This window comes from Homo sapiens, chromosome 5, assembly GCF_000001405.40.
Source record: "Homo sapiens chromosome 5, GRCh38.p14 Primary Assembly".
Classification (NCBI taxonomy): Eukaryota; Metazoa; Chordata; class Mammalia; order Primates; family Hominidae; genus Homo; species Homo sapiens.
The window spans coordinates 177401938-177425522 of record NC_000005.10 but is presented as its reverse complement, the minus strand read 5'-3'; the positions used below and the strand labels follow the sequence as shown (position 1 = coordinate 177425522).

The 23585-nt window shown below is 51.8% G+C and overlaps 1 protein-coding gene across 2 annotated transcripts, besides 6 other annotated features; it reads left to right on the top strand.

Moving 5' to 3' along the window:
* F12 (coagulation factor XII) lies at nt 15959–23382 on the top strand. 2 transcript variants are annotated; one of them, NM_000505.4, is made up of 14 exons: nt 15959–16052; nt 16420–16477; nt 19462–19561; nt 19718–19788; nt 20090–20200; nt 20338–20469; nt 20609–20713; nt 20859–21024; nt 21110–21327; nt 21433–21664; nt 21906–22042; nt 22126–22269; nt 22825–22973; nt 23064–23382. In NM_000505.4, exons 1-14 carry the CDS (start codon nt 15996–15998, stop codon nt 23229–23231), a joined length of 1848 nt encoding a protein of 615 aa, NP_000496.2. In that variant the 5' UTR covers nt 15959–15995; the 3' UTR covers nt 23232–23382. The 2 variants fall into 2 exon arrangements, with proteins under 2 accessions (NP_000496.2, XP_011532764.1); XM_011534462.3 differs by lacking the exons at nt 15959–16052; nt 16420–16477; nt 19462–19561; nt 19718–19788 and adding an exon at nt 19795–19963.
* Nucleotides 20887–21216: a silencer, noted in NCBI's record as "silent region_16685". NCBI's record gives its function as "represses an Ori minimal core promoter by ATAC-STARR-seq in GM12878 lymphoblastoid cells {active_cell/tissue: GM12878}" and the evidence as "EXISTENCE:reporter gene assay evidence [ECO:0000049][PMID:35858748]".
* Nucleotides 20887–21839: a biological region, named in NCBI's record as "H3K27ac-H3K4me1 hESC enhancer GRCh37_chr5:176830685-176831542".
* Nucleotides 20982–21839: an enhancer, noted in NCBI's record as "H3K27ac-H3K4me1 hESC enhancer chr5:176830685-176831542 (GRCh37/hg19 assembly coordinates)". NCBI's record gives its function as "activates a minimal SCP1, AML or CMV promoter by ChIP-STARR-seq in naive H9 embryonic stem cells {active_cell/tissue: H9 hESC(naive)}" and the evidence as "EXISTENCE:reporter gene assay evidence [ECO:0000049][PMID:30033119]".
* Nucleotides 21567–21616: a silencer, noted in NCBI's record as "silent region_16684". NCBI's record gives its function as "represses an Ori minimal core promoter by ATAC-STARR-seq in GM12878 lymphoblastoid cells {active_cell/tissue: GM12878}" and the evidence as "EXISTENCE:reporter gene assay evidence [ECO:0000049][PMID:35858748]".
* Nucleotides 21647–21696: a silencer, noted in NCBI's record as "silent region_16683". NCBI's record gives its function as "represses an Ori minimal core promoter by ATAC-STARR-seq in GM12878 lymphoblastoid cells {active_cell/tissue: GM12878}" and the evidence as "EXISTENCE:reporter gene assay evidence [ECO:0000049][PMID:35858748]".
* Nucleotides 22696–23553: an enhancer, noted in NCBI's record as "H3K4me1 hESC enhancer chr5:176828971-176829828 (GRCh37/hg19 assembly coordinates)". NCBI's record gives its function as "activates a minimal SCP1, AML or CMV promoter by ChIP-STARR-seq in naive H9 embryonic stem cells {active_cell/tissue: H9 hESC(naive)}" and the evidence as "EXISTENCE:reporter gene assay evidence [ECO:0000049][PMID:30033119]".

Genomic DNA, 23585 nt, shown 5'->3' with positions numbered 1-23585 from the left:
GTTTCAGAGAGTGACAACTGCTCTTCGGACGTTAAGAGAGTGTGTGACACTCTCAGGGTGTGACATTTGAGCGGATCCAGTAGAAGCAACAGCAAACGCAGAGGCTCTAAGCCAGACTAAGTGGTGTGTTCAGGGAATAGGAGAAGGCGTCCGCAGCTTCTGGGCCCAGTGGTCTGAGATGAGACAGAAGGAGCAAAGGCACTAGCTAGGTCATGGAGGACTGTGAACACGTCCAGGAGGCTGAAGTGTTTTTGCTAAGTGAAATGTGAAACATTTGAAAGAATGATTTATATTTTAAAAATATCACTCTGGTGGATTCCTAGGGGGCCAAGAGTGGAAGCAGAGCAGTCAGGAGTTTACAGAATTCCAGTAAAGAGATGGTGGTGGCCTGGACCTACAAGGTGGCAATAGAGACGGAGAAAAGTGGATGGATCTAGGATCTAGGGAGTTAAGTACCTTAAAAGAGGGAAACCCTCCTGGCTAATGCGGTGAAACCCCGTCTCTACTAAAAATACAAAAAATTAGCCGGGCATGGTGGCGGGCACCTGTAGTCCCAGCTACTTGGGAGGCTGAGGCAGGAGAATGGTGTGAACCTGGGAGGTGGAGCTTGCAGTGGGCCGAGATCGTGCCAATACACTCCAGCCTGGGCAACAGAGTGAGACTCCGTCTCAAAAAAAAAAAAAAAAAAGGGAAACCCAGGGCCCAGTGGAACATAGGGCAGGTACCTCACTTAGTGAAGGCTGTTGTGTCCAAGTGAAATCTGAAGATTCAGTGAAAATGTGCAGGTTACTGGAGTAGGGAGGGAAAGAGCCTTCTGGACAGAGGGGTATCACATGTTCGAAGTTCCGTAGAGGAAGTCAGGAAGGGCTCCTGCGTTCAGCACCTAAGCATCCAGCTGGGGTTTAAAGGTACACAGTGGTACACAATGGGGTCGACATGGGGGCAAGAAATGAGGCTGAAGTCTCAGGAGGGGCCTGGATCAGGGAGGGCCTTGAGAGCCACCTAAGGAATTTTGGACTTCGTCTTGAAGGTGGTAGGGAGCTCTCACGGAGGTTTTGAGTAGGGTGATCAGATTTGCTTTCATAGAGAGCTCTGGGCTGCACTGTGAAGGATAAGCTGAGGGGAGGGGGCTGGCTTGTTGTTGTTTTAGTTCCCAACATCTGAAGCCCTTCCCGTTTGAGAAGAATCCTATGAGATGTGGAGGCAGACCCTGCCTTCAACTCAGGAAATCAAAGAAGGGAGGTAGAATTTTTTCTCCCAGGTCTCTGGTAGCTGGAGCACAATTCCAATGTTTCCAACCAGGTCTTTGAATCTAGAGCATGTGACCGGCACAAGACATCAGGGGGATCATTTAGAATTCACTGTGGAGGCCGTGGAGGTTGGGGGAGGCAAGGAAGGCAGTCAAGCTAGGCCCTTCCTGGGGGAGGGGGATTCAGCAAGCCCCCCAGGCTGCCCCATCCATTCCTCATCTGCTTAGTTACTCAGAATTGGCTTCCTTGTCTGCAAGCCAAGTATCCTAAGACAGGTGAGAGACCTTTTAGAAGGAACTTTTAGAGAGAGGAATGATGGTGCCCTATGCTGGGGCAGTGGCCAGGACATGCAGACAGGTGGACAGATGGAGACCTGGCATGTAGCTGGCATGAACAGGACATGGCAATAGATAAGAGGTGAAGAGGAGATGTCACTCAGGAAATTTCGTTCCAGCTCTTTAAGCCATTTTCCACCTACAGCCAAAGTGATATTTTTAAAAGGGAAAATTGGCTAAGCATGGTGGCTCATGCCTGTAATCCCAGAACTTTGGGAGGCCAAGGCAGGCTGATCACCTGAGCTCAGGAGTTCGAGACCACCCTGGCCAACATGGTGAAACCCCATCTCTACTAAAATATAAAAAATTAGCCGGGCATGGTGGTGCGGGCCTGTAGTCCCAGCTACTCAGGAGGCTGAGGCATGAGAATCGCTTAAGCCCTGGAGGTGGAGGTTGCAGTGAGCCAAGATCATGCCAGTGCATTCCAGCTTGGGCAACAGAGCGAGACTCCATCTCAAAAATAAATAAATAAATAAGAGGGAAAATCTGCCACCAACCATCTGAGATGTGCACATCTAGGAATCTATCTTACAAATATCATTGCACTTAGTCGGGTGCTGTGGCTCACGCCTGTAATCCTAGCACCTTGGGAGGCCGAGGTGGGTGGATCACGAGGGAAGGAGTCTGAGAACAGCCTGGCCAACATGGCAAAACCTATCTCTACTAAAATTTAAAAAAATTCACCAGGTGTGGTGGCGGGTGCCTGTAATCCCAGCTACTTGAGAGGCTGAGGCAGGAGAATCGCTTGAACCTGGGAGACGGAGGTTGCAGTGAACTGAGATCGTGCCATTGCACTCTAGCCTGGGGGACAGAGTAAGACTCTGTCTCAAAAGAAACAAATATCGTTGCACTCAAGCAAAATAAGAAATGCTTAAGGCTGGTGGGGCCTGGTGGCTCACACCTGTAATCCCAATACTTTGGGAGGCAGAGGCGGGAGGATCACTTGAGACCAGGAGTTCAAGACCAGCCTGGCCAACATGGCAAAACCCCATGTCTACTAAAAGTCCAAAACTTAGCCAGGTGCAGAGGTTGCAGTGAGCGGAGATTGTGCCACTGCACTCCAGCGTGGATGACAGAGTGAGACTCTGTCTCAAAAAAAAAAAAAAAAAAAGAAATGTTTAAGGCTATTCATTGCAGCATTGTCCAAAAAGATGGATCATACTAATTGTCCTTAATAGAGACTGATTAAGTAAAATGTCCTTTCCTACCCAGGAATACGATGTAGCTATTTAAAAAAAAAGCGTGGAAGTGCTTGTATACTGATATAAACAATCTCCAAGATATATTGTTAAGTGGAAAAAATCAGGGTGCAGAACAGTGTGTAAGGCTTGCATAAGAAGTGTCTGGGCTGGGCACAGTGGCTCAGCCTGTAATCCCAGCACTTTGGGAGGCCGAGGCGGGCGGATCACCTGAGGTCAAGAGTTCAAGACCAGCCTGGCCAACATGGGGAAAGCCCATCTCTACTAAAAAACACAAAGATTAGCTGGGAATGGTAATCCTAGCTACTCAGGAGGCTGAGGCAGGAGAATTGGTTGAACCCAGGAGGTAGAGGTTGCAGTAAGCAGAGATGTTGCACTCCAGCCTGGGTGACAGAGTGAGACTCTGTCTCAAAAAAAAGGAAGGGTCTGGATAGATTAGGTTCTGCTGCAGTAACAAACAATCCCAAGTTTAAGTGACCTAAAGCAACAAAAGTTCATTTCCTGCATACACCACATGTCTAACACAGCTTGTTGGGTGGTGGGGTGGCACTACACATAGTAGTCACTCAGGGCCCCAGCGTAGTAGGGGCTTCATTGCAGTTTGTGCTTCTACAATGGCAGGTGGTGAAAGGAAATGGGAAATTTGGTAAATCATACAATAGTCCTTAAAGCTCGCACCCAAAAGTGACACAAGTCACTTCTGCTCACATTTCATTGGTCAAAGCAAACCACATGGCCACAAGTAGCTTTCAAGGGGTGGGGAGAAGGGCTGGCATGGTGGCTCATGCCTGTAATCCCTGCACTTTGGGAGGCCAAGGCTGGTGGATCACCTGAGGTCAGGAGTTTGAGACCAGACCGGCCAACATGGTGAAAACCTGTCTCTACTAAAAATACAAAAATTAGCCAGGCGTGGTGTTGTGCACCTGTAGTCCCAGCTACTTGGGAGGCTGGGGTGGGAGAATCGCTGGAACTCAGGAGGCAGAGGCTGCAGTGAGCCGAGATCGTTCCACTGCACTCCAGCCTGGGAGATAGAGTGAGACTCTGTCTCAATAAATAAATAAATAAATAAAGGAGTGGGGAGACACAACATTACTATGGCAGATTATATTTTCTAAAGATGAGTGTAACAATGCATTCCCATCCCATGGGCACCTCTGCAATGGAACCTTGCCACCCCCACAGCAAGAGATAGAGTTTAATTTCCCTCCCCTTGAATTTGGTCTGACCTTAATGACTCTCTTGTCATCGGTAGAATATGGTGGAAATGATGCAGAGTGAAGTCTGAGGCCAGGTCAGGAAAGGCCATATGGCCTGGCTGTCATAAAATGCCGGCTCCCCAGAACTGTCCTCTTGGGCTCTTTCCTCACAGTCAGCTGCTGCTGTGAGAAGCCCTAGCCAAATGGAGAGGCCACATGTGTGTGCTCTACTGTGGTTGACAATCCCAGCTGAGCCCAGGACGCTGGGATGATCCAGTCATCCCACCCCCAGCACCAGACATGTGAGTGAAGAAGCCTCCATATGATAATTCTAACCCCTGGCAATTTGAGTCACCCCCAGCCATGCAAGTATCCAGCTGAGGTCCCTGGCATCTTCCCTGCTGAGTCCTGCCTGAATTCCTGACCCACAGAATCCATGAGCATGATAAAACAGGCCACTAAGTTTGGAGTAGTTTATAATGCAGAAGCAGGTACCTGGCATCACTCCTATAGGCCTGGAAGGATAAAAGAATTGGAAATGTTTGGTGAACAACACTAACAACCACCACAGACAGTTTTGCTTATATATATGTTGCCACCTTGGGAAGGCCACGTGAGGCAGCAGAAATGCTGCTTGCATCTGGGAAGGGGTAGTTAAATGGCTGGGGATGGGGGTGGGAGGGAGGTTTTTCACCTCCCTTTTTGCACCTTTAATCTTGCATTGTGTGACTGGATGGCCTGTCTTAAAAACAATCAGCCGGATCCTGTCACTCTTACTCAGAACTCTCCAGTGGCTGCCTGTGGTAGGCAACCTCTAAGGTACCCCTGCCACCACGGATCTCTGCTTCTTCCTGGTCCGTGGATCTCTGCTTCTTCCTGGTCCGTGGATCTCTGCTTCTTCCTGGTCCGTGGATCTCTGCTTCTTCCTGGTCCGTGGATCTCTGCTTCTTCCTGGTCCGTGGATCTCTGCTTCTTCCTGGTATTCACAGCCTTAAGATCCCCTTAAGTGTCAGGTGGACCTCCTGACTCACTTTTTTTTTTTTTGAGATGGAGTTTTGCTCTCCTTACCCAGGCTGGGGTGCAATGGCATGATCTCAGCTCACTGCAACCTCCACCTCCTGGGTTCATGCAATTCTCCTGCCTCAGCCTCCCGGGTAGCTGGAATTAAAGGCACTCACCACCACGCCTGGCTAATTTTTTGTATTTTTAGTAGAGACGGGGTTTCACCATGTGGCCAGGCTGGTCTCAAACTCCTGATCCGCCCGTCTCGGTCTCCCAAAGTGCTGGGATTACAGGTGTGAGCCACTACACCCGGCATTTTTTCTTTTTCTTTTTTTCTTTTTTTTTGTTTTTGAGATGGAGTCTCGCTCTGTGGAAGTCTCGCTCTGTTGCCAGGCTGGAGTACGGTGGCTTGATCTCCACTCACTGCAACCTCTGCCTCCCAGGTTCAAGCAATTCTCCTGCCTCAGCCTCCCGAGTAGCTGGGACTACAGGCGCGTGCCACTACGCCCAGTTAATTTTTGTAGAGATGGGGTTTCACCATGTTGGCCAGGCTGGTTTTGAACTCCTGACCTCAAGTGATCTGCCCATCTCTGCCTCCCAAAGTGCTGGGATTACAGGCGTGAGCCACCAGGCCTGGCCTGCCCCCGGCCTTTTCTTTTTTTCAGAGTCTCGCTCTGTCGCCCAGGCTGGAGTGCAGTGGTGCAATCTCGGCTCACTGCAAACTCCGCCTCCCGGGTTTAAGCAATTCTCCTGCCTCAGCCTCCGGAGTAGCTGGGATTACAGGCGCTGCCCACTACGCCTGGTTAATTTTTGTATTTTTAGTATAGATGAGGTTTCACCATGTTAGCCAGGCTGGTTTCAAACTCCTGACCTTGGGTGATCTGCCTGCTTCGGCTTCCCAAAGTGCTGGGATTTCAGGCGTGAGCCACTGGGCCGGGCCACGTTTTTTTTCCCTAAGAGACAGGGTCTTGCTCTGTCACTCAGGCTCGATCACAGCTTACTGCAGCCTCCACCTCCTGGGCCCAATCGATCAGCCTACATCAGCCTCCCGAGTAGCTGGGACTACATGCGCATGCCACCATACCCAACTAATTAATTTTTTTGTAGAGATAGGGTCTCCCTCTGTTGCCCAGGCTGGTCTCAAACTCCTGGCTCAAGCAATCCTCCCTCCCTGGCCTCCTAAAGTCTTGGGATTACAGGCATGAGCCATGGCACCCAGCTTGACTCACTTCCAATGGAAGGAATGCAGCCAAAGTGATGGAATGTCATTTCCAACATGAGATTACTAAAAGATTGTGGCTACCATCTTACGTAACTCCTCTTGCTCCCTCACTGGCTCAGTCTGAGAGAAACCACCTGTTAGGTTGTGAGATGGAGAGACCCTATGTGGCAGGCAACTGATGTCTCTAGCCAACAGCTTTGTAAGTGAACTTGGAAGTGGATCCTTCCCCCGGCAGCCTCAGCTGACCCTCCGATGCAGCCTTGTGAGAGATGCTGATCCAGTGGCACTCAGTTAAAAAGTGCCGGGTTCCTGACCCATAGAAACTGTGACCCATAAATATCTTTTTTAAAAAGAGTTTATGGCCGGGAGTGGTGGCTCACACCTGTAATCCCAGCACTTTGGGACGCCAAGGTGGGTGGATCACCTGAGGTCAGGAGTTCAAGACCAGCCTGACCAATATAGAGAAACCCCATCTCTACTAAAAATACAAAATTAGCCAGGCGTGGTGGCACATGCCTGTAATCCCAGCGACTCAGGAGGCTGAGGCGGGAGAATTGCTTGAACCCGGGAGGCAGAGGTTGCGGTGAGCCGAGATCGTGCCATTGCACTCCAGCCTGGGCAACAAGAGAGAAACTCTGTCTCAAAAAAATAAAATAAAAGCTTAATTGGCCAGGAGCAGTGGCTCACGCCTGTAATCCCAGCACTTTGGAAGGCCAAGGCAGGCCAATCATGAGGTCAGGAGTTCGAGACTAGCCTCGCCAACATAGTGAAACCCCATCTCTACTAAAAATATAAAAATTAGCCAGGTGTTGTGGTGGGCACTTGTAGTCCCAACTACTTGGGAGGCTGAGGCAGGAGAATCCCTTGAACCTAGGAGGCAGAGGTTGCAGTGAGCCAAAATCGTGTCACTATACACTCCAGCCTAGGCAACAGAGCGAGACTCTGTCTCAAAAAAAAAAAAAAAAAAAGAGTTTAATTGATGTGAGGCTGGCCCACGTGAGAGAACTGGAGTTATCATTGAAATCAGTCTCCATAAATGTCATTTTAAGCTGCTAAATTTTGGGACAATTTGTTATGCAGCCATAGATAATTAATACACTTCTCATTACACTTAAAAAATAAAACCTCCTTGAGGCTGCAGTGAGCCATGATCATACCATTGCACTCCAGCCTGGGTAACAGAGCAAGAACTGTCTCCAAAAAAATAAATAAATAAATAAATAATAATTTAAAAAAACCTCCTGTAGTCCCAGCTACTTGGGAGGATGAGGTGGGAGGCTCACTTGATCCTAGGATTTCAAGGCCAGCCTGGGCAACAACATAGTGAGACTTAGCTCTACAAAAAATAAACAATTAAAATGTTAAAAACCCTATGTTCTTCCCCGTGGCCCACAATGGCCCAACTTGATCCGGGCCCTGCTTCCCTCTCCAGCGTTATTTCATGCCCTCTCCTTCTCATTCGGTGTGCACCAGCAGCCACACGCTGAGCTTCTTCCTGCTTCCATCAGGAGCTGCACTGTCCAACATGGTAGCACCTAGTCACATGTGGCTACTTAAATTAATTAAATTTGGCCGGGTGCGGTGGCTCATGCCTGTAATCCCAGCATTTTGGGAGGGCGAGGTGGGTGGATCACCTGAAGTCAGGAGTTCAAGACCAGCCTGGCCAACATGGTGAAAACCGTTTCTACTAAAAATACAAAAATTAGGCGGGTGTGGTGGCAGGCACCTGTAATCCCAGCTACTTGGGAGGCTGAGGCAGGAGAATTGCTTGAACCCGGGAGGCGGAAGTTGAAGTGAGCCAAGATCGTGCCATTGCACTCCAGCCTGGGCGACAAGAGCGAGACTCCATCTCAAAAAAAAAAAAAGACTGTATCTCAACAGTTCAACAGTCTGACTGGGGAAGCAACAGTACCACCAGCCAAGGTGTGAAGGATGGCAGGCTGGGTACCTTCTGATCCCCCCAACGTCTCCTTGAACAGGCAGTTCTGCAACCACATGAAATCTATGTCCCAAGTCCCTGCTAAAGAGGAAGTGGGGGCCGGGCATGGTGGCTCACACCTGTAATCCCAGCACTTCAGGAGGCCGAGGTGGGCAGATCACAAGGTCAGGAATTTGAGACCATCCTGACCAACATGGTGAAACCCCGTCTCTACCAAAAATACAAAAATTAGCTGGATGTGGTGGCAGGTGCATGTAATCCCAGCTACTCAGGAGGCTGAGGGAGAATCGCTTGAACCTGGGAGGCGAAGGTTGCAGTGAGCCGAGATCGTGCCATTGCACTCCAGCCTGGGAGACAGAGCGAGACTCTGTCTCAAAAAAATAAAAATAAAGAGGAAGGGGATTTGTGTGTGTCTGTGTGTATCCAGAAACCTGTGAGCAGGACTCAATGGTTTCTCATCCCATGGACCCACCGCCCAGCTGCAGAAAGACAGAAGCCAGGTCAAGGGGACACTGCCTTTCTGCTCTGGTCTACAGCAATTGGTGGAAGACAGCCAGATGTGCAAGAAGATCTGGGGACAAGTGTGCAGAAATTATAGAGAAAAATGTATCCACATTGGAAAGTTTCTTTGTACACCTCTATGGATTGAGCTCCAACCACACGCCAGGCTCTGCCTTTTCACATGCAATCCCATTCAAACACCTCAACAAGTCTACCAGACAGCATGAGTGCCCATCCCTCCCTACAGAGATGTGGCAATGCAGATTGAGAGAGGCCGAGCTCCTTAGCCGTCATCACACTGCGGGGCGGTGGCCAAGGTGGGAGTGGAAGCCTTCCTGACTCAAGTCCAGTGCTTCCCTACCCTGCTTCTAAGGTCAGTATTTTCCCGTCCTTTAAACTACTGACTTACCCATCATGATCACATGAAGGGGTTTGTTTTGTTTTGTTTTGTTTTGGGAACTTCCTGGTAACAGTGTATGAAGTCTGGCAGCATAAGTTAGGACTTTTGGTTGAAACTAAAATTAGCTCAGGCAAAAAAAGGAATTTTGGGGTTCAGGTAACAGAAAAGCATAGGTGGTGGTTCTGACTTCAAGCGTCTCTGGATGCTGGGTCTCAAATGGTGTCATTCAAAATCTGTCTTTTTCTTTTTCTTTTTCTTTTTTTTTTTTTGAGATGGAGTCTCACTCTGTCACCAGGCCGGAGTGGAGTGGCGCAATCTCGGCTCACTGCAACCTCTGCCTCCCTGGTTCAAGCAATTCTCCTGCCTCAGCGTCCTGAGTAGCTGGGATTACAGTTGCGTGCCACCACTCCAGGCTAATTTTTTTTTTTTTTTTTTTTTTTAGTAGAGACGGGGTTTCACCATGTTGGCCAGGATGGTCTCGATCTCTTGACCTCGTGATCCACCCGCCTTGGCCTCCCAAAGTGCTGGGATTACAGACGTGAGCCACGATGCCCGGCCTAAAATCTGTCTTTTTCATACCCTGGCTCCACTCTTTTTTTTTTTTTTTTTTTGAGACGGAGTCTTACTCTTTTGCCAGTCTGGAGTGCAGTGATGCAATCTCAGCTCACTGCAGCCTCTGCCTCCCAGGTTCAAACAATTCTCCTGCCTCAGCCTCCCAGGTAGCTGGGGTTACAGGCGCGCCACTACACCCGGCTAATTTTTTTGTATTTTTAGTACAGGCAGAGTTTCACCATGTTGGCCAGGCTGGTTTCGAACTCCTGACCTCAGATGATCCATCCACCTCAGCCTCCCAAAGTGCTGGGAATACAGGCGTGAGCCACTGCACCCAGCGCCCATACCCTGGCTCTGCTTTTAATCTTTATTATCTTTATTCTCAGGTAGGTTCTCCCTCTGAGATGTTAAAGATGGCTGCCAGCAGCTCCAGGCTCATTTGTTAGGAATGTGACAACCTCCATGGAAAGAGAAGGCCTCTAGCTTTATAATTCCAGCAAAAATCCTGGGGCTGCCTCTCACTGGTTCGATGTGGGTTAGGTGTTCTTTTTTTTTTTCTTTTGAGATAGAGTCTGGCTCTGTCGTCCAGGCTAGAGTGCAGTGGTGCGATCTTGGCTCACTGCAACCTCTGCCTTCTAGGCTCAAGCCATCATCCCACCTCAGCCTCCTAGGTAGCTGGGACCACAGGCGTGCACCACCACGCCCACCTAATTCAGGTGTTCATTTGAACCAATCGCTGAAGACAGAGGTGGTGTTCCGATTGGCCAGGTCTAGATCAAATGCCCACTCCACCCTCAGCCAAGGGATAGGGTAGGCTTTATTTTATGTATATTGACGCAGGGTGGGGAGGAGCGATTCCCCAAAGAAACAATGAGGGCCATTTCTAGAAGCAGGGAGAATGAATGGTAAACAGGAAATGATAGACATCCATCACAGGCTCTCAAATTATGTTTCACAGCTGTAGCTACCTTGAATTTTCTGGAAGTCAAAGAAGGGGCAGTAGAAATTGAGAGAGATGGAGAGATTTGAGAAATATTTATGTAGCCTGGTGCGGTGGCTCATACCTGTAATCTCAGCACTTTGGGAAGCTGAGGTTGAGGAGATAGCTTGAGCCCAGGAGTTTGAGACCAACCTGGGGAACACAGTGACACCTCACCTCTACAAAAAATTAAAAAATTAGCTGGGTGTGGTGCTGCACGTCTGTATCCCAGCTACTTAGGAGGCTGAGGTGGGAGGATTGCTTAGAGCCTGGGATGCTAAGGCTGCAGTGAGCCATGATCACGTCACTGCACTCTAGCCTGAGCAACAGACTGACACCCTGCCTCAAAAAAGAAAAAAAAGAAAAATATTTAAATAGTGGAATGAACAGAACTAGGTGGCTAAGTAGGCTGGGAGCATGAGGAAGAGAGAGCTCTTGGTTGCAAGCAACAGAAAATGACTCTAGCTGCTTCAACAAAAGGGAATTTACTTTGTGAGAAGGTCTTCGGGAGTTCACGGCATCAGCTCGAAGGAATAGGCTTGGAAATGTGCAGGAATTAAGAGCCACTGGAAGACTAGGAAGCAGGAAGTACAGTGATTTCCCTTGAGCAGACACGGAAGTTGTCCACCTAATATCCATGCCACCGCTCTTCCCTGTTTGCAGAGTCCCAGTTCTGTTCCAGTGGCCACTTTACCTCACATGCCTCTGACCCAGATCCAGGGTTAATAGGTTTAGGCCAGTGATGGGGATCCCCTTTTCCTTGCCAAACATGGCTTAGGGATGTCATGTGAGCCTGTTCTAGCTAAGAAAGCATGAGGAGAGGTCTGCTTGAGATTTGAGGGAGGGTTCCTCATTCCTAAGAAGGAGCTAGTGGAAGGGAAGGTGCCTCTTCTTTGCTTGAACATAATTGAGTTGAAGTGTGATTCCTGGAGCTGTGACAGCCATCTTGTGACCATGAGGGCAGGCAGCCTGAAGGTCTGCACACAGAAGACAAACAAAAAAAGAAAGAACTTGGGTTCTTGATGACATTGTTGAACCACTGAAAGCACTGTTCCTGGAGTCCTGCTGCTCCAGACATCTGGTGACATGGGATGATGAATTCGAATTGCCCTACTGCATATGCTTGGTTTTTGGAAGGCATCCTGACTTAATGCCATGTAGCCGGGATGATTTGGTCAGGGCACAGGTGGTGCAATGCCAGACCTCCAGCTTTTCCTGCCATCCTTGTGTGGCTTGATCAGGATTCAGAGCCCTGGGAGAAAACACTATTGGCTGAGTTTAGGTCCCTCTGGCTATACTATGGTAGGGAGAGGTTGGTCTGGTCCATTAGGCTTCCATAGTGGAGATGGTCTCTAGAAAGTACCCTTTCAGCCGGGTGTGGTGGCTCACGCCTGTAATTCCAGCACTTCGGGAGGCCGAGGTGGGCAGATCATGAGGTCAGGAGTTCGAGACCAACCTGGCCAACATGGTGAAGCCCTGGTCTCTACTAAGGAGACAAAAAATTAGCCGGGCATGGTGGCGTGGGCCTGTAATGGCAGCTACTTGGGAGGCTGAGGCAGGAGAATCACTTGAACCTGGGAGGTGGAGGTTGTAGTGAGCCGAGATCGCACCATGGCAGTCCAGTTTGGGCGACAGCGCGAGACTCCATCTCAAATAAATAACTAAATAAAAATAATAATAAAGTACCCTTTCACCACCACAGCTGGGGAGGGGTGATCACAAAATGAAACTGGGAGAGGAAGAGGAAGGGAGATGGATGTTGAACATCCAAATGACCATTAATGTCCACCTGACACCTCATCTCACACTCCCTACAAGGCACCTTATGCTCACCACATTCCCCATTTGACACGCTGCATTCAGGCTTCTGTGCAGTTGTATTACTCACTCTGCCTGCAAACCCCTACTTGTGGCGAAGACCTGTTCAAAAGGCCCCTTCCATGTAGAGGAACAGCTGCCTTCTCCCCAAGAGGAAGGAGCCAATGTGGGAGTGGCCTTAGGGCCAGGGTCTATACTCAGGAGCAATCAAGAACTGACAGAGCCAGGCATGATGGCATGAACCTGTAATCCCAGCTATTCAGGAGGATGAAGCGAGAGGATCACTTGCGCCCAGAAGTTCCAGGCTAGCCTGGGCAACTTAATAAGACCGAGTCTCTTTGAAACAACAAAAAAGGTGACAAAGGTAGTTTCGCTTTAATGACTCGTCAATATATCTAATAGTTTCACTTTCATCATGGAGTTAACAGCTGTCACGTCAATGACTTTGAAACCAGTTACCTTTGAAACCAGTGGTTGGAAAGGTGCCCCTCCTCTCCTGCCCTCCTCTTTCTGTGTTTCTGTTCCAAGAAGTCTTCCACAGCCTGCCTCTCTTCCAGCAGAATTAATAAATTGCTACACTCAGTCTTCATTTCCCATAAATTACTTTGTATAACTTAGGACTTTGTATAACTGAAAGTGACAGAAGTCCACTCAAATTGGTTTTATTGGCTCATATAACTGAGAAGTCTATTTTTTTTTTTTTTTGGAGATACAGTCTCAGTCTGCTTCCCAGACTGGAGTGCAGTGGCACAATCACGGCTCACAGCATTTTGGACCTCTGGGCTCAAGCAATCCTCCTGCCTCAGACTCACAAGTAGCCGGAACTACAGGCACGCGCCACCATGCCTGGCTAATGTTAAATTTTTTTGGAGAGATGGGATCTCACTATGTTGCCTACATCAGTCTGGAACTCCTGGGCTCAAGTGATCCTCAAGTGATCCCCAGCCTCCCAGAGTGTTGGGATTACAGGCGTGAGCCACTGTGCCTAGCCATAACTGACCAAGTCTTAAGGATACTTCTAGTTTTAGGATGTAGGCTCTCAAAGTCATGAGAAATCAATCCATCAGTACTAGTTCTCAAATGTCGTGTAACAAATCACCCTAACTTGTGGCTTAAAGCAACAACATTTAATGATGATTTATCACAGTTTCTGATGGTCAGTTTTGCCTTGAGGTCTTTCATAAGATTGCAAGCCAAATGTCAGCGAGGGCTGCAGTATCCACTTCCAAGGCAGCTTATTCATGTGGCTGTCCAATTGGCACTGGCTGTCAGCAGGGTGCTTTCCTTTCTCCCTACATGGGCTTCTCTGCAGGGCTGCATGTGTGTCCTCACAACACAGTGGCTGGCTTCCTCCAGAGTGAGCAACCTAAGAGACCGAGGCAGAAACTGCAATGTCTTTTATGACCTGGGCTTGGAAGTCCAACACCCTCACTTCTGCCATATTTTTTTTTTTTTTGAGACAGTCCCTGTCGCCCAGGCTGGAGTGCAATGGCACAATCTCTGCTCACTACAACCTCCACTTCCTGGGTTCAAGCGATTCTCCTGCCTCAGCCTCACGGGTAGCTGGGATTACAGGCACACGCCACTACGCCCGGCTAATTTTTGTATTTTTCATAGAGATGGGGTTTGGCCAACACGTTGGCCAGGCCGGTCTTGAACTCCTGACCTAGAGTGATCTGCCTGCCTTGGCATCCCAAAGTGCTGGGATTACAGGTGTGAGCCACCACACCCAGCCACTTCTGTCATATTCTGATGGACACACAGAACAGCCCTAACTCAATGTGGGAAGACACCATACAAGGGCATGAATCCTAGGTGGTGAGGATCAATGGGGGCTGTCTTTGAGGCTGTCTACCACAGCATCTTTCCATCCTTCCTGCCCTGTTTGCTTTGCTTTTCCTATGTGTAGGCTTCATTCTCAAACAGGCCCTCCCTAGAGAGTGACAAAGGTGATCATCAATGTGTTCAGACCCACATGCTCTGTGCTTAGTAACCCCAGTGCAACTTTTTTGCTTTCCCAAAAGTTCTGGCAAAAGTCCCAAGCTAGCACTTTAATTGGCCTAAATTGTGTATATGCTTATCTCTGAACCAATCACTGTGGATTAGAGATGTCATGCTCTGATTGACCAGACCTAGGCCACATCTCTAGCCCTAGCTCTGAGGGTAGAGTTGGCAGCACTAGAGCCCATGGAAGAAGTAAGAGAGGAGTCGTTGCTAAAGGAAAAATCAAAGTGTCATTACCGAACCAGGACAGATGCTGGGCAGCACATGTGCACCCCGTCTTCTTCTCATGTTCCAGCTGCACATCTTAGTGCCCCTTGGTTTAGCACTTTTCTCATTAAATCATTTGCTTTCTTGCCTCACTTCCTGTGGTTGGTAGAATGCTAAGATGGCCCCAAGATCTCTACCCCTGGTGTTTGCACACCTCCCAGTTATTCTGTCAAACATGAATGTAGATGCTTCTGTGAAAGAATTTTGCACATGTAATTTAAGTCCCAAATTGTTTGACCTTAAAATAAGGAGAATGGCAGGGCCAGGCATGGTGGCTCATACCTGTAATCCCAGCACTTTGGGAGGCCAAGGCGGGCAGATCACGAGGTCAGGAGATCGAGACCATCCTGGCTAACACAGTGAAACCCCATCTCTACTAAAAATACAAAAAATTAGCTGGGCGTGGTGGCGGGTGCCTGTATTCCCAGCTACCCAGGAGGCTGAGGCAGGAGAATGGCGTGAACCCGGGAGGCGTAGCTTGCAGTGAGCCAAGATCGTGCCACTGCACTCCAGCCTGGGTGACAGAGCCAGACTCTGTCTCAAAAAAAAAAAAAAAAAGGAGAATGGCTTTGGTGGGCCTGACCTAGTCAGGTGAGTTCTTAAAAGGCGACACATGGCCCGGTGCAGTGGCTCAGGCCTGTAATCCCAGCACTTTGGGAGGCCGAGGCGGGTGGATCACGAGGTCAGGAGATCGAGACCATCCTGGCTAACATGGTGAAACCCCGTCTCTACTAAAAAGACAAAAAATTAGCTGGGCGTGGTGGTGGGCTCCTGTAGTCCCAGCTACTCGGGAGGCTGAGGCAGGAGAATGGCGTGAACCCGGGAGGCGGAGCTTGCAGTGAGCGGAGATTGCGCCACTGCACTCCAGCCTGGGCGACAGAGCGAGACTCCGTCTCAAAAAAAAAAAAAAAAAAAAGAAAATTAAAAGTGGGTATTGTTGTAAGATGCTGAGTTTATGGTAGTTTGTTACATGACAATAGAAAATGAACACACTTCACAGTGGACTCCAAGATCCCCATGATCTTTGATCTCCTTAACCTCCTGATCTCCACAGGACCCAGAGCATAAGAATGTCCCTTCTTCTGCTTCCAGTCCCACTATCTAGAAAAGAGAGGAGGAGCCCAGCTCTTCATTTCACCCCCACCCACAAACTCCCAACTTTCCGGCCCTCAAGGGGTGACCAAGGAAGTTGCTCCACTTGGCTTTCCACAAACAGCCTGTGCCCCACCAGGCTCAGGAGGGCAGCTTGACCAATCTCTATTTCCAAGACCTTTGGCCAGTCCTATTGATCTGGACTCCTGGATAGGCAGCTGGACCAACGGACGGATGCCATGAGGGCTCTGCTGCTCCTGGGGTTCCTGCTGGTGAGCTTGGAGTCAACACTTTCGGTGAGTGCTGTGGGAACCAGGATTGTCCCAGGATTGTTCTGGGGGGTCGCTATCACAGCCATGAGCCATGGCCTCTGCTCATGACCTGTGGGTCCAGGTGACTAGGAGGCCTATGTGGAAAGGTGAGGCCAGCCCGGAAGGCCCAGGCAGAGGAGACAGACAACCAGACTGGGTGGATACAAGGGCACAGCCTGCATTTCTGGGGGAGATGGGCCTTAAGAAGACAACGGGGGGAGGTAGAAAGGGTTTGGGTCTTGGGAAGAAATCTCTGCATTTCTGGGCTGTGAGAGGAAGCTGCAGACTAGCAACAGATCGGTGGCAGGCTATGACTTATAGTCAGTTCCCTGCCTTCTTCTCTCCCTTGTAGATTCCACCTTGGGAAGCCCCCAAGGAGCATAAGTACAAAGCTGAAGAGCACACAGTCGGTAAGTGGCCTGGCTCCTCCTCCCGGGAACCCTTGGGTGGGGATGTGTATGGTGCAGTGTGTGCAGTCTCAGGGCAGTCTAGTCTAGTGCCTACCTGGTGCTAGGTCTTATGCCCATGGGCACTAGAGTGATCGTGAGCTGTGTGATCCTTGAGGGCAGGGTATGGGCTGTGTCTAAGTGCCCACGAGCCTGGCTCGGAGCAGGTGCTTGAGATATGTGCTGCTGGCGCCATCACACCTGGGCTCCTGCCAGCCTTCCTCAGTTTCCCCAGCTTCTCCCCTTCTTTTCCTTTCCCCAGTACGTCTCATGGGCATCATTCATGCCACACAGAGGCCAGGGCCTTCAATGGGCAAGGAAGGATCAAGAGCTTGTCTCTGGCATCTGAATGCCTCTGAAGCCCAGCTTTATCACTTATGAGCTGGGTGACTCTGGGCGAGGGATTTGAGTTCTCCAAGCTTCAATTTCCCCTTCTGTGAAACCAGGTTGATAACAGTAAACCTCTTAGGGTTGTTGAGAAGGGAAACCCATGTGAGGTATTCAGCCCATCACCTGGTGCATGGAAATGCTTTACAAATATTAGCTTTTATTATGAAACTACCTTTTAGATGAAGGGTACCTGCCATTTCCCCCTTCCTCAAGCTCTGCCATAGCTCCCCATTGCTTTCATTCTTCCAGACACTAAATTACCTACATGCCAGGCATGGTGGCTCATGCCTGTAATCCCAGCACTTTGGGAGGCCAAGGTCGGTGGATCATGAGGTCAGGAGTTCGAGACCAGCCTGGCCAACATGGTGAAATGCTGTCTCTACTAAAAGTACAAAAATTAGCCAGGCATGGTGGCATGCGCCAGTAGTCCCAGCTACTCGGGAGGCTGAGGCAGAAGAATTGCTTGAACCTGGGAGGTGAAGGTTGCAGTGAACGAAGATCACACCATTGCACTCCAGCTTGGGCAACACAGCAAGACTCCGTCTCAAAAAAAAAAAAAAAATTTACCTAGAGTGTGGCACATAGCAGGGCCTGTGAACCAGATGGACCTTACCCTGGTGGGCCTGACTTGGTGGGGTTGAGTCTCTAAGCATGGCGTTGAGGCCCAGCACATTCCAACCCTGGACTCCCTCAGCCTCCTCTCTTCACCCCACACCCAAAAGTTTCTCCTCTCTCTTGCCTTACCCAAACTTGGTGCCCTATCCTTGCCTAATCCCCTGCCTAAGGTCCCCCTCCTCTCTGTCCGTCCATCCCATCTGCATCTTTTTTTTTTTTTGAGATGGAGTCTCGCTCTGTCCCCTAGGCTAGAGTGCAATGGCGCGATCTTGGCTCATTGCAACCTCCGCCTCCTGGGTTCAAGCGATTCTCTGCCTCAGCCTCCCGAGTTGCTGGGATTACAGGCACACAACTTCATGCTCAGCTAATTTTTGTATTTTTTAGTAGAGACAGGGTTTCACCATGTTGGCCAGGCTGGTCTCGAACTCCTGCCCTCAGGTGGTCCGCCCACCTTAGCCTCCCAAAGTGCTGGGATTACAGGCGTGAGCCACCGCGCCTGGCCCCCATTTGCATCTTAAAGGTCCATCTCAGATCCATTTCCATTTACTGTCCTAGTTCTGGTTTGGTCCTTGGCAAGTGCACTTTGCCTTGAACAAAATAGTGGCAAAAGCTTATTGAGCAGGTACTTTGTGCCAGACACTGCTCAGCATTTCATGGCATTATCTCATGAAGCCCCACGACAATTCCTCTGAAGAAGACACAGGCAATTCTCATTATTCGCGATGGTTATGTTCTATAAAATCACAGTGAACATTGAACTAGCAAACAGTATTAGGTTCCTGTGAGCCTCTGGTCACAACATTTTCATCAACCAACAGCATATAATCTGGTTTTATGTATGATTCTGTTTAAAGACATTTTATTTAGTATATGTGTTGCTGATTCATCAATGCTAAGCTGATGGCACTATAGCACACACCTGAATCAAGTGTCTAACACACGCTTTCTCCCTAAGGTAGCCTTCTTGTGCTTAGGAACTACACAGCTCTTCAGCAGGAGGCTCAGAGGCCATTTCCAAAAGCCAAATCCCCAGCAAAAGCACAAAGTGTGAAAAACGTTGCACTAAGTAGACTGAGAAGGACACTCATTCAATAGGAGAGCTGAAACAAGCAGCAGCAGCGTGACGCCTTGTTGAACCTTAACTGGGAATGTGCAAATTTTTCACTGCTCTGTGCATGCCCACAAATGGCCATGAAAACATTTCAAGTATTGACTTGGGAGTTACAAATAAAATTCAGCAAGTAGGCACATTCTCAATGTAGAACCAGAGAAGAATGAGGATCAACTGTACTATTATTACTGCCGTTTTACAGATAAGGAAACCAAGGCTCAGATCAGAGTGGTTAACAGTGACTTCAACATTCAACAAGTATTATTAAGTGCCTACTTTGTGGCAAGTGCTCTTCCTGGCCTTGGGACTGAAGACTTACCCAAGGTCACACAGCTAGCAGGTTGTGGAGTCAGGAGTCTACTCCAGCTATCTGACTCCTGAACCCAAGTTTTTTTTTTTTTCTTTAAGATGGAGTCTCACTCTGTCACCCAGGCTGGAGTGCAGTGGCGCGATCTCGGCTCACTGCAAGCTCCGCCTCCCGGGTTCACACCATTCTCCTGCCTCGGCCTCCCGAGTAGCTGGGACTACAGGCACCTGCCACCACCCCCAGCTAATTTTTTTGTATTTTTAGTAGAGAGGGGGTTTCACTGTATTAGCCAGGATGGTCTTGATCTCCTGACCTCGTGATCTGCCCGCCTTGGCCTCCCAAAGTGCTGGGATTACAGGCTTGAGCCACCGCGCCCGGCCCTGAACCCAACTTTTAGAGCAGAAAGTGTTTTCAATGCACAGCGACCTTTTTGAGGGTCTGTCCTTTTCCTGACCAGACCCTGAGGGACAGTGCCTGAGCAGTTGAGTACAGGGGAAGTCCTCAGAGAGTGTGTTGTCCCTGCAGTTCTCACTGTCACCGGGGAGCCCTGCCACTTCCCCTTCCAGTACCACCGGCAGCTGTACCACAAATGTACCCACAAGGGCCGGCCAGGCCCTCAGCCCTGGTAAGACTACGCAGAGGAGTTGGAGCAGGGGCCTGGGAGACATGTACCCTGCCTGTCCTTCTGTCCAAGGAACTCTGCTTGGAGAGAGGGGACTGTGATAGGGCAGGGTGGGCCAGGCCCCTGGGTAGAGCAGGGAAGCCTTGTCTCTTTCTACAGGTGTGCTACCACCCCCAACTTTGATCAGGACCAGCGATGGGGATACTGTTTGGAGCCCAAGAAAGTGAAAGGTGCTACACACAGCCTCTGGGGTGGCCTGGGGCTCTCTCCTCCCGCCTCATTACTCTCCTGGTATCACCAGACCCCACACACCTGGGATTCTGGACCCAGCCCCTTCTCTCCCTCCACAATACCCTTTGGAAGTCCAGAGGGAGAGTTCTGGGAAGGAGTGGTCCCATTTTGCAGGTGGGTAAACCAAGCTTGGAAACTTGGAGTAGCAAGGTCACAAGGCAAGTAGGTTCAAGAAGGGCCTTGGCCCCCAGCTGTGTGACTCAGCTCCCTGCTCTTCCTTCCACCATGTCCATCTCTCAGACCACTGCAGCAAACACAGCCCCTGCCAGAAAGGAGGGACCTGTGTGAACATGCCAAGCGGCCCCCACTGTCTCTGTCCACAACACCTCACTGGAAACCACTGCCAGAAAGGTGAGGAGATGTGGAGGACCTGGGCGGGGTGCTGGGGGACAGGGGCAACCCTGGGCCTACAGAATAGGTTGCTGGATACTCGGAGACTTGGCATGGTCCTAGACTCTCCTGAGACCACTATCCCTCTTTGTCCCCAGAGAAGTGCTTTGAGCCTCAGCTTCTCCGGTTTTTCCACAAGAATGAGATATGGTATAGAACTGAGCAAGCAGCTGTGGCCAGATGCCAGTGCAAGGGTCCTGATGCCCACTGCCAGCGGCTGGCCAGCCAGGGTGAGCAGATGGTTGGGAACGGGCCAGGGAGGAGCGTCAGGAAGACAGGCTGGCAGGAGGCCGGGTGGTGTGCCAGGAAGGAGAGCTCTCTGGGGGGGTCTTTAGGCCCAGGGGTGGCTCACTGCGTTCCCTCCCCAAGCCTGCCGCACCAACCCGTGCCTCCATGGGGGTCGCTGCCTAGAGGTGGAGGGCCACCGCCTGTGCCACTGCCCGGTGGGCTACACCGGAGCCTTCTGCGACGTGGGTGAGTGAGGGTCTGGGGCAAGCAGAAGGCCAGCCCCCAGGTGGGACGGGCTTGCCAGGAAGGAGGAGGGAGAGTGCGGAAAGCAGATGAGAGGGAGGCAGGAGAGCCCAGCCTTGGCTGCCCAGGGAGCCCCCTTTCTCCTCAGACACCAAGGCAAGCTGCTATGATGGCCGCGGGCTCAGCTACCGCGGCCTGGCCAGGACCACGCTCTCGGGTGCGCCCTGTCAGCCGTGGGCCTCGGAGGCCACCTACCGGAACGTGACTGCCGAGCAAGCGCGGAACTGGGGACTGGGCGGCCACGCCTTCTGCCGGTGCGCCGCGTGGGGCTGGGTGACCCCTCCGCCCCAGGGCTCCGGGCTCCCGGCGCTCTAACGGCGCCCCGTCGTGTGGCTACAGGAACCCGGACAACGACATCCGCCCGTGGTGCTTCGTGCTGAACCGCGACCGGCTGAGCTGGGAGTACTGCGACCTGGCACAGTGCCAGACCCCAACCCAGGCGGCGCCTCCGACCCCGGTGTCCCCTAGGCTTCATGTCCCACTCATGCCCGCGCAGCCGGCACCGCCGAAGCCTCAGCCCACGACCCGGACCCCGCCTCAGTCCCAGACCCCGGGAGGTTAGGAAGTGGGGGGGGGAAGGAGGAGCCGAGAGGGCGCCGGGCGAGCTAGATTCCGGCCAGCCGGCCGCGGGCTCTCCGTCCTCAGCCCCTGCTCCTCCACAGCCTTGCCGGCGAAGCGGGAGCAGCCGCCTTCCCTGACCAGGAACGGCCCACTGAGCTGCGGGCAGCGGCTCCGCAAGAGTCTGTCTTCGATGACCCGCGTCGTTGGCGGGCTGGTGGCGCTACGCGGGGCGCACCCCTACATCGCCGCGCTGTACTGGGGCCACAGTTTCTGCGCCGGCAGCCTCATCGCCCCCTGCTGGGTGCTGACGGCCGCTCACTGCCTGCAGGACCGGCGAGTACCCGCCCGCCCAGAGCCGCCCCAGGGGCCGCGGCTCCTCCGTCTCCCAGCGCAGCTTCCACGCTGCACCCGAACCCGTGCCCTACCTTCTCCCGCCCCACCCTTCTTTCCACGCCCCTCCGGAGCTCCCGGGGAGGAAGCTGGAACACGGGATTGGGGTTCGGGAGCAGGGGGCTTCCCCAGAACGCTTGTGGCCAGGTCTGAGAGCGCTGCCTCTCCCCTACCCCCCCCGCAGGCCCGCACCCGAGGATCTGACGGTGGTGCTCGGCCAGGAACGCCGTAACCACAGCTGTGAGCCGTGCCAGACGTTGGCCGTGCGCTCCTACCGCTTGCACGAGGCCTTCTCGCCCGTCAGCTACCAGCACGACCTGGGTGCGTGGGGGCGCCCCGCGGGGACGGGAAGAGAGCTTGGGGCCCCGGCGTCCCCGCCTCACGCTCCTCTCCGCCCGGGTTAGCTCTGTTGCGCCTTCAGGAGGATGCGGACGGCAGCTGCGCGCTCCTGTCGCCTTACGTTCAGCCGGTGTGCCTGCCAAGCGGCGCCGCGCGACCCTCCGAGACCACGCTCTGCCAGGTGGCCGGCTGGGGCCACCAGTTCGAGGGTAGGCACAACTGCTAGGGGCAGGGGTAGGGGAGGAGACCTTTGATCACTGGGTTAGGCGGAAGAAGCCCGCGACTTTGGTATCGTTCCGGGTGCCTACAGAATGGGTGGCGCTGACCTGATGGGTTGTGAGAATGTGTAGGTGAATCCCAGGTAGAATCCCAGGGCCTGGGATTCACTGCTGGGATCCCCAAATCTCCTGGGGATACAGGGAGAATCGAACTTGCTCTTGGTTCCCTCTGGGCGCCGGGCTGCAAAGGCCAACTAGGACGCTGGCCCCGCGCTCCGGGCTAGTGTGGGAGCCAGGTTCTGCGACTCTGGATGGGTGGTGGGGGAGGGGTTTCTGTTTCCGCTCCGCCCATTCAAATCCTGGCTTTTCTCTGGACCTCAGCCTCCTTGCCTATGAAATTGAATTAATGGCACCTCCTCCCCTTCGGGCTTGCTGCGAGAGAGGAAGGGCATGAGTGGGTTTACAAGCGCCTGGAGCAGCTTTGTCCATCGTCCGGGCGGCAAGCGTTGTCAGATGGGGTGTGAAGAAGGCGCTCTGTGTTCGCAGGGGCGGAGGAATATGCCAGCTTCCTGCAGGAGGCGCAGGTACCGTTCCTCTCCCTGGAGCGCTGCTCAGCCCCGGACGTGCACGGATCCTCCATCCTCCCCGGCATGCTCTGCGCAGGGTTCCTCGAGGGCGGCACCGATGCGTGCCAGGTGAGCTCTTAGCCCGGTTGGCGCCCTTCCCCGAGGCCGTCAGGCACAAATCTCAGGTCCACAGCGCTGAGCTGCGTGTTTCCGACCCAGGGTGATTCCGGAGGCCCGCTGGTGTGTGAGGACCAAGCTGCAGAGCGCCGGCTCACCCTGCAAGGCATCATCAGCTGGGGATCGGGCTGTGGTGACCGCAACAAGCCAGGCGTCTACACCGATGTGGCCTACTACCTGGCCTGGATCCGGGAGCACACCGTTTCCTGATTGCTCAGGGACTCATCTTTCCCTCCTTGGTGATTCCGCAGTGAGAGAGTGGCTGGGGCATGGAAGGCAAGATTGTGTCCCATTCCCCCAGTGCGGCCAGCTCCGCGCCAGGATGGCGCAGGAACTCAATAAAGTGCTTTGAAAATGCTGAGAAGGAAAGCTCTTTTCTTCATGGGTCCCGCCGGGAAATGCCAAGACAGAAAAGCGATTCACAGCTTCTCCACAGCTCTCAGAGAACAAGGTCTATGAGATCTTAACGTGCAAAATCTAGATGCCAGCCCAGCTAATGTTTACTGAGCCTAGGATACTGTATACCAAGCCCTGTGCAAGGAGAAGCTGCATGTTATTCCTTAT

What these genes read in the sequence shown, in the direction of transcription:
- F12 (NM_000505.4), top strand. Translation starts at nt 15,996, where the DNA reads ATGAGGGCTCTGCTGCTCCTGGGGTTCCTGCTGGTGAGCTTGGAGTCA. An exon ending in GGAGCCCAAGAAAGTGAAAG is followed by an intron (nt 19,789 to 20,089) that starts GTGCTACACACA and finishes TCCATCTCTCAG; the next exon opens with ACCACTGCAGCAAACACAGC. An exon ending in CCAGCGGCTGGCCAGCCAGG is followed by an intron (nt 20,470 to 20,608) that starts GTGAGCAGATGG and finishes TCCCTCCCCAAG; the next exon opens with CCTGCCGCACCAACCCGTGC.